General features: G+C 37.7%; 2 annotated features.

Annotated features, from left to right (window-relative positions):
* Positions 7578-8078: an enhancer, noted in NCBI's record as "H3K4me1 hESC enhancer chr18:76027952-76028452 (GRCh37/hg19 assembly coordinates)". NCBI's record gives its function as "activates a minimal SCP1, AML or CMV promoter by ChIP-STARR-seq in naive H9 embryonic stem cells {active_cell/tissue: H9 hESC(naive)}" and the evidence as "EXISTENCE:reporter gene assay evidence [ECO:0000049][PMID:30033119]".
* Positions 8079-8579: an enhancer, noted in NCBI's record as "H3K4me1 hESC enhancer chr18:76028453-76028953 (GRCh37/hg19 assembly coordinates)". NCBI's record gives its function as "activates a minimal SCP1, AML or CMV promoter by ChIP-STARR-seq in naive H9 embryonic stem cells {active_cell/tissue: H9 hESC(naive)}" and the evidence as "EXISTENCE:reporter gene assay evidence [ECO:0000049][PMID:30033119]".

The raw sequence follows: 10049 nt of genomic DNA on the forward strand, positions 1-10049 counted from the left end.
AGAGGCTTAAATATGTGTATATTTCAATATGAAAACATAAAATGGAGACTATCATTCATATAAGAGAATTTTTTCTGAACCTGTCATGCATCTCAGTATTTACAAAAAAACTGTCTTCTCAAAAAAAGGTTGTTGAAAAAAATCAATTGAAAATGTCAATAATTTCAAATTCATTAGTCATTAAATTCAATGTTTGGAGAATGATTAAGAAATATTATATAAACATTCAAAGTAATAAGAAGTTTTAAAAAATTTTCAGAATAATAAGAAGACTGGTAAAAAGACAGAGGTGCCTTAGAAATGGATGGCAGTCATGGACCTGTCATGATTCCATATGTAGTCATACCACTTAGGCTTATTTTGTGTAGAAATAATTAATATGTAGAAGAATTTTGTACAATTTGCTATAATGTATTATAATGTATACAGATATATGTAGTTTATATGTTTCAAAAGCTATTTTAGTCTTAACATAGTTTTTGAATTGAATTCTATTACAAGTTTATCCATAAAATTATACCAAATAAACACTTTATAATGATGTGACTTGTTATTTTTATCCTTTCCTTTTACTCTGAAAAATATTGCTGATTGCCTGATAAATTTCATGGTCATATACCTTTATACCAGACCCTGTTGCAGCAATATGTTTAAAAGAATGCACCCAGACTTCCGTGTTCAATTGGCATCTAGAGAGAAGCAAGAGACCTTGCTTCTATCCTGACCATAAGGATAGCCTGGACAAGCTACAAACCCATCAGAGGGCTGAAGGTGCATACTTCATGGACTTAAGTCTAGAAATTAGCCAGTCATTTCCAAGCAAGGAGAGAGCCTCAGCTCCTTCCACTTTTTGTGGAGCACCATATTGAAGGATTACGGGGAAACCAGTGGACTTCTAAACGGCTTTTGTTGGCTGTGTGTAGGCTAGAATGACAGTTCAAAATCCCAAGTCATCCTGAGTCACCTGCTTTCTAAAGGCGGGAGGAGTGCAGCAGAGACAGCTAAGCACAAGCAAGACAGCCAGAAACAGGACTGCAAGGAAAAGCAAACTCCCAGCAACCAACCACAACACAGCCTGTAAAGGAGAAAAAGGCCTCCTGTGATGCAGAAAGATGCACCAGGACTTAAGAACAGAGAGGCATTTATAGCTCTCCAATACTTAGAGCTCAAGGCCTACAGAAGGTAAATACCTGATCTTGCCTCCAAAACATCTGAAGTCACTGTTGATCAAAATCCAACTAGAGCTACAGCGAAGAAAGATGACCAGTTCAACTGCAGATTAGGTGAACATGTGCCCCACTTAATCAGCCTGACAGGAAAAGGGCATGCCATTTTCTAGGAAAATATTATTTATTTCAGTCTCGTCTGTTGTTTTATATACAATGTCTGGGACACAGTAAGAAATTAAAAGAAACAAGAAAAAGCAAGAAAATGTCACCCATGGTAAAGAGAGGAAGCAGTCAATAGAAGATGGAGAAGTTCAGGTATGGTATTATAAGTCATGAGCTTTAAAATTACTATGATATAGTGGAAAAGTTGGACAACATGAGTGAAAAGATAGAGAAGTTTACCAGGGAGATCAAAATGATCTCCCTGCTAATCTTTAAAAAAAATAAAAAGGAAACCTGAAGACGAGGCAATACAAATGATCCACACTAAATCACAAGTAATAATAATAATGGCAAAAAACACGAGGAAACACAAATGATCCACACTAAATCACAAATAATAATAATAATGGCAAAAAAAGAGGTAATACAAATGATCCACACTAAATCACAAATAATAATAATAATGGCAAAAAAGGTAATACAAATGATCCACACTAAATCACAAATAATAATAATAATGGCAAAAAAGGTAATACAAATGATCCACACTAAATCACAAATAACAATAATAATGGCAACAAAGATGAGGCAGTACAAATGATCCACACTAAATCACAAATAATAACAACAATGGCAAAAACAGTGATAACAAGACCACACTAAATCACAAATAATAATAACAATGGCAAAAACAGTGATAACAAGATTGAGACTTGAGATTTGTGAGGCAGTATCGCCTTAACATACACATAGTTAGAGATCCAGAAGGAAAAGGGTGGATAGGGCAGGAAAAAAAATCTATGAAAAGATAATGGCTATGATTTTTGAATATTGATGAAACAAATCAACCCAGTGATCCAGAAAATCCGTGAAACTCAATAAAAAATACAAATAAAGAAACCTACATCTGGGAAGACCATATTCAAACTGCTGAAAACCCAAGATAAATTAAAAATCTGAAAAGCAAAATAAACAATAACACAAAAGAAAACTGATTTTCAATGACAAAAATAAGCAAGAAGATAATAGTTGATAATAGTTTGACAATTTTAAATGCTGAAAGGCTAAAAATAAAGTAAAAAGAAAATTTACAGACCAAAATTCTACATCCATCAAAATGTTCTTCACAAAATACTTTTTTCAGGTGAAAGAAAATTAAAAGGGTTAATGGCCTGCAGACCTTCCTTACAAGAAATGGTAACATAAGTTCCTCAGACCAAAAAGAAATCACGCCAAACCTATAAGAAGAAACAGAACAAGAATGATAAATGTATTACTGTTCCTTTTACTTTCTTAATTTCTTTAAAAGACAGATGACCCTTTAAACCAAAATTTAATGCCATATTGTGGGATTATTATATATTAACAAAAGAACAAAGGACATTGCAAAGTTTTACATCGTATATGAAGCAGCACAATGATAAGCCCATGTATAGGAAGAAGGAAAAGAAGCATGTTGTAATCTATAGAAAATTAATAGAAAAGTCATGTAAAGACTTGTAGCTCAAAGTTAAACATAAGAATTAAATAAAAGAGACTACTAAAAATATTTCTACCAAAAAAAAGGCAGGAAAAAAATCAAACAAATACAAAGGTAGATGGCATGAATAGAAAACAAACATCAATATAAAAGCCTAAATAAACTTTCCCACATTAAATAAATGTATATAAACTAAATAGTGAAATTAAAAGACAGAGAATTGTGCCCAGCTGAACTCACCTAGTTCTGAATTTACTCTTGAGAGGAAGATGTGAAACCAACTCTAAGTCTGAAGCTGACTATGTAACTGTGAGCTCTCCGGATTAACTTCTGTACGTACAACAATGATTATTAAAATAAGAGGAATAATATGTGCTCATTTGAAGCTCCATATGTATCTATATATAATTTTTAAAATATATATATTTTTATTATACTTAAAGTTCTAGGGTACATGTGCACAATGTGCAGGTTTGTTACATATGTATACCTGTGCCATGTTGGTGTGCTGCACCCATTAACTCATCATTTATATTAGGTATATCTCCTAATGTTTTCCCTCCCCCCTCCCCCCACCCCACAACAGGCCCCAGTGTGTGATGTTCCCCTTCCTGTGTCCAAGTGTTCTCATTGTTCAATTCCCACCTATGAGTGAGAACATGCGGCGTTTGGTTTTTTGTCCTTGTGATAGTTTGCTGAGAATGATGGTTTCCAGCTTCATCCATGTAAACTCAACAGTTACAGCAGCAACTGTTTAGAAAGTAGTCCTACAAGCAGTTATTTTAAAGAAGGAAATTGAACAGAATTGCAGCCACAGAGAGACAAGGAAAGCAAGCATACTAAAGACAGCTTGTTATTAGTTCCAGTTTCTCTACAGCTGATGTACCTCCTCATTACCTGCAGCCATGATGGACTGCTCCCTCAGCCCTGCCATCAGTAAGCCACGGTACCATCCTCTTTACAACATTCTTCCTATCAGTGTCTCATACCTGTAGGCTCCACACGTCTATCACCTCTAAGTCTCACTTTAGATGTTCTTTCATGTGGGAAGGATTTTTTTTACCCTAGTATTTGGGTTGGATCCATTTCTAAAGTCCATCATGACCCCCTGTCATTTCTCTGTCATTGTTCCCATCATGTGGATTTTCCCTAGTATATCTAATTTCCTACTATTTAATAGGAGTCAATGGAATTCACTAGAAATTAATATCTGTAGGAAAGGAAATCCCTCTCTCTGTCCACACACATCTCTCTACTTTAAAACTTAAATGAAACATAAGACACAGTACCTATCCCATGAGGAACACTCAATTAGTGTTGGACAAATAATTGGTAGAGTAGAAAATATTATCAATATACATAATGGAAATAATTGATTAATATTTGTAGGAAAATAAGGAAGAACTCTTACAGAATTCAAAATAAATGAAAGACACATACAAGTTAAATGTTAAAAGAAAGCGTAAAAGAAATAGAGGAAAATCTGGGTGATTCATTATGTGGCAATACATGAGAGTGGGCTTTTTTGTCCTTTATACTTACGGTTTGTTTAAGTATAGTTTTACTCCTTACAATTTTTCTAGCTTTCACAGTTAGCTCTGTTGTCCACCTCAAATCATTTGTACACATGTGAAGAAGGGGAAGGCTTGATTGTTTTCCAATATCCAGTTCTTCAAGCACCAATTATTGAGATTTTAAAAAAGTTTCACCTCTGATTTGCAGTGGAGCCTTTGCTATAAATCAGGTAGCTGTCCTCATGTCCTCATGTGGGTTTTCTAGACTCCATTTTAATTCCATTGGCATATTGTTTTCTCATAGGCCAATACCAAGCTGCCTTACCTGCCAGAAATTTTATTAATTTATGCAATTTCATGGAGTCACTTGTCTTGTTTTTCATTGTGAATACTACCTAAGTAATTCTTTGGTGCTGCATTTGTTTATAAATTTAGAATCAGTCTGTCCATTGCCACAAAAAATACTGGAATATTGATTGATATTGCATTTAATGTATATCCAATTTGTAAAAAATGACATCTTAAAAATGTTGCTTATTAAAATTCATGAACATAGAATAGTCTCTATCTTTTAAGTCATCCTTAATTTCACTCAACAATGTTTTGGAATTTCTAGTGTAGACGTTTTCAAAACTTTGGTTATATTTATTCTAAGTACTTCTTTTTTTAAATTACATTATATATAATACTGTTTTTTCATTTTCTTTTATTTTTAAATGTTGGTAATAGAGACACTTAACTGATTTTGGATATTGACTTCGTATTCAGGAAACTTTTAACTTGTCATTTCTAAGTGTTTTTTATGGTTCTTTAGGTTTCTAGATACACAGTTATAACAACTTAGGAGAAAGATGGTTTTATGTCTTTTGTTCCAGTGTTAACATCTTTTCCTTTTCTCTTTCTGTTTCTTTGTTACAGTGCTGGGGTATCTATGACAACATTGAGCATAAAACCCAATGGTGGATGCTCCAGCCTTCCTCCTGATCTCAGAGTGAAGGCATCCAGTATTTCGCCGTGAACTGGATTATATCTACAGCTTTTTTGTAGCTGTCATTTGTCAGTTTGGGGAAGTACTTTTCTATTTTCAGCTTCTGAGAGTTTATCATGAACAAGTGTTGAATTTTATCAAATGACTTTGGGCATCTAACAAGATGACTATATAGCTTATTTTCATCCCTTTAATGTAATAATTTACATTGGCTCATTTTAAAAGTAAATAAATGAAAAACAAAGTTGTAGAACTCACTGTTGCCAAATTCAAGACTTACTAGATAGACACATTAATCAGGATAGTGTAATGAATGGTATAATTGTAGATAAAAGACCAACAGAATAAAATGGATATTCATTACACATCAACGGCTTTTCGGCAAATGTGCCAAGATGACTCAAAGGGGACAGGAAAGTCTTTGGGGACAATTAGACACGTCAACAATCAGTTTAAACCATTGCATGTCTTCCTATACAAAAATTCAGTTCTGGTAGGCCCAGACACAAAAGGTAGAACCAGAAACTTGAGATAGGCAAATATTTCTTAGAAGAAAACAAGCACTAATCATAAAAGGGGAAAAAAGGAAATATTAGATGTAATTAAAATACATCATTAAGAAAATGAATAAGCAGGTTACAGATTGTAAAAAAAATTGCAAGCCAAATATTTAATCCAATATACTTTTATTCAGAATATATAAAACTCTTAAATCAAAAATAGGAAGACTCAATCAAAAAAATAGGTAACAAAAATATATCACAAAGGAGATATAAGAATGTCCACTAGGTTTATGGAAAATATAAAGGAGATACTATTTCACACTTAGTAGAATGGCAAAAAAAAAATCAATAAAAACCAGAAAACCCAGACACATCTAATTTTGGAGAGGATGTGTGTTGTAAGGATTGAAGCCCTAACTCCTGAGAATGCAATTGTATTCGGAGGTACAGCCTTCAAGAAGGTATTAAGGTAAAATAAAGTCATCAGGATGGGTCTTAATCCAACATGACTGCTGTCTTTGTAGGGAAAGAGCGCAGAGAAAAGCCCACAGAAAGACACAGCAAGAAGATGGCCATATACAAGCCAAGGAGAGGCCTCAGGAGAAACCCACCCTCATGACACCTTGGCCTTGGACTCCCAGCCTCCAGGTTGGGATAAAATCAATGTTGGCTGTTTTAAGCCGCCGAGTCCATGTCTTTCATTATGGCAGACTGAGCCAACCAATACCTTGTGGAGCAACTGGAACTATTGTGCATTGTTGGGGGAGTTAAAACAGCATAGTCCCCTGAAGACCCAGTGGCCGCTGTGTTTAAAGTTAAACATCCACTCTGTCTCAGCAGTTCCACTGTAAGGAAATGCACTTATCCAACGGAAGCGAGAGCCCACGTCCCAACAATGACATGGGAAATGGTGAATCAACGCAGGCTCTTGATGCATGGAGTGTATAGGAAGGGGGCGCACTCAACAGTGGAATGAAAGCTGGAAGAATGGGGAGTGCAAAAAACGGAAGAAATAAAAATCCATGTATCAGATGAAATTGCTGTGAATAGAGGGAACATACAGAAATAAACTTAAGCATGGGCTGGTATTTTCTGACTGATTGGATGATGTCTTTCAGCCCCTCTGGTTCCCCTCCCTCCAATTACGTTTATATTTGTCAGAAATACAAAAATTGCGAGGAATGGCTGGACTAGTGAAAGTTGTGATAAACTATGGTTTGTTTTGCCAAGGACGCTACTACTAGTGACATCAATTGACATTTGGGAGTGTTGCCTAGGCTGGTCTGGAACCCCTGAGCTCAAGTGATCCACCTGCCTGGGTCTCTCAAAGTGCTGGGATTACAGGCCTAAGCCACCACGCCCAGACGATTGCTTTGTTCATTGTTGAATCCCACTACCTTGTACGTGATACTGCTCAGAAAGGTTTAATCTACCTGCTAGGATTCTGCGGATCCTCACTCATTCCACCATTGAGAGATTAAGGAAAACACAAAGAACAATATACTAGGAACAGGACCAAGCCAGGAATCCAGGTTTCCTAGGTCGGGGCGCTGCTCTAAGACTGTGGGCACATCAGTTAACCTCTCAGTCTCCGGAGTCTTAAGCATAATGGGATTCCCTCGGGGAATCCACAGTCCCTTCCAGTGAAGCCTCAGGTTCTTATAGGGTTTATCTGTTTCCTCATCTTAAGGAGAAAGAAACTATTTCCAGATAAAGAGAATAAACTAGTTTGAGTTGTTACAAGTATCCTACCTTAGTCATACTCACTGTAGAGATTTATGTAAAACTGCATCTCAGATTTGCACCCAGAATGCCGAAACACCCTAAAAAATTTCACCTGGAATTTTTAAACAGGACATCATGGAGGTGGAGACCGCAGAGGCCATGTAACCGTGACCTACTGGCTTCTAAATCTCACATCTCTGATCTTTTGAGAGAAGCACATGAAACGTACAGTAAGTGCTTTATTGCATAACCTCTCTGCCTCCTCTACGTTCCAACTTCAGAGGAGGCCTCTGCTGCTTACAGCCGCTTGAGTCTTGAAGACTCGATGGAGAGAGCCCAGTCTTCCCTAGATGGGAGCAGCTGTCTTGATTTTGCCTGTATTTGCGTGTGAGGTTCAAACGAGCCTCCTATCCACTGCTGTCACCGCCATATTGATCGCCAGACCATCTCCCTGGACACCAGGTGGCCCGGTACGCTGTCCCCGGCCCAGACGGCTCCAGGGGCAGGAAGGCCACCCAGCAGCAGGGGCCCAGGGCTGGGGCAGCACGTGCGTCCAGGCATCTCAGGCCCTGGACTGTGGCGAGGATCAATGCACCAGCGGGAGCCTGCGTTTTATCTGTGATGTTTTTGAACATAAGTAGGAGTAAGGGCAGATTGAGGAGGAAAAAGACGTTCTTGAGCTGCATTAGAGAGAATCATACTTGGGAAGCTAAGGGCTCGGTTACGGCTCATTGTTCTTTGACAGCCTTTCCTCCCTTCCCCTCCCTTCACCTCCTTCTCTTCCTGACCTCCTTTGCCCTGGGGACCTGTGACACCAAGGAGAATATTGCTGAAAGTCAATCATACATTTTCACATCATAAATGCGCTGACCAGGAGACGTCCAGTGGCTTTGCAGCCCCACCATGAATGATGAGCAATTCCTAGAACGTTATCTGAGATGCTCTGGTTTGCGAAAACAACACAGTGTGCTCTGAAATGAAAACAGCATCGCCCCCGTGTAAAGAGAGCAGGCGCCAGAGTGAGGGCGGGGGTGGGTGTGTGTTTAATCCGATTCTGCACATCTGTCTTCACACAGTTGGACTCCTTCACAAAAGTCACCCTAACTACCTTAACATATGTAGAACCAAATTAAAATTACTTTATCAATCTTGCATTTTCAGCTTTCCCGTCTTTGGGGTTATTTTCCATCCATGTGTTTCATTATTTCAGTAAAGTCATCTCATCTCCCTAACTGAGAGAAATCAAACAGTGGAAGGCGAGCTACATGGCCGAGCTGCGGTGAGGGTGGAGGAGAGGGAAAGGGAATGTATAATTTATAAGCATTTCAGGTTTTTGTGCACATTCTCTTCTTAATGTTCTGCAATATTTTTGTAGTCAACCATTTTTTCTTTATCTTTTCTCAAATAATATATGTTCCCTGAATTTGTTTCTTTCAATAAATTTCTTTTTGAGTTGAGGTGGGATTTTGGAGTAGGGTGTAAAAAAGAATCTCTCCTTAAATGTTACACATTATCTTTCAAAGCAGTGACACACCCCTAAAACGATTTTGTAACATTTTTTGTGCAGGTGCTTTTGCAACATCTCCTTGGAATGGTCGGGTCCAGCCCATTCTGCTTCTGTTGAGCCACAGCAGGTGAATCCGGGCAAAACGGGAAGAAAATGGAGCAAGCAAAGGACGCCAGAGGACGGCGGCGCCTGGAAGCATAAAACACAAATGGCACAGAAATGAAAAGGGGTGCCCCACTAGAATGTGGGTGCAAACTCACAGGAGTCGTTTCACTGTGTCTTAAGGAGCTTACCCTTTAGGATACAGACGTTCACCACTGTCTTTCTTAGTCTTTCCCATTGTTCAGGCTCACATGAGGGTCATTTTATTCCAACCGCCCCTTTCATCACGTCAGGACACTACGTGGAGTGCAATCAAGGCATAAATAAATCAAATGCAAAGGTTTGTCACTGCATGGGCACAGGCCCCTCATGACCAACACCCTGAATCCAACGCATGCATTTGATTCATCATCTGACATGTGAGTTTTCTTATCTTTCAGTGTAGATATTTAGATGCTCAAAAATGTGATTGCTAGGTGGCTATAATTAACCCCTAATTAATAATAGGGAGCTAAATAATAATTTTTAAACTTTACAAATTGAAAGAAGCAACAAGAAAGAACAAGTAAGAATAAATGCTTTTTCTCATAGAAACGTATTTTAATTTGGAACCCAATGACTTTCAAAATGTATTTTGTAAAGTTGCACCACACAGCATAATAAAAAGAAACTCCAAGTTCCTTTTATGTTAAGGGGATCACCCATCTCGATTCACCCACAGAAGTCCAAATTGAGAGACACATGTTGGCAGATGTAGTGGTTGTTCATTTTCACTGCTGTGTTGTGTTCCATGAGTGAAAATGTCCGTTTCCTTATCTATAATCATGTGAGTCAACAGTTAAGCTTTTTCTGGTTTCATACAATTCCAGCAATACTGCTGTGTAGGCTACTGTGCATGT

The sequence above is a fragment of the Homo sapiens genome, chromosome 18, assembly GCF_000001405.40.
Source record: "Homo sapiens chromosome 18, GRCh38.p14 Primary Assembly".
Lineage (NCBI taxonomy): Eukaryota > Metazoa > Chordata > Mammalia > Primates > Hominidae > Homo > Homo sapiens.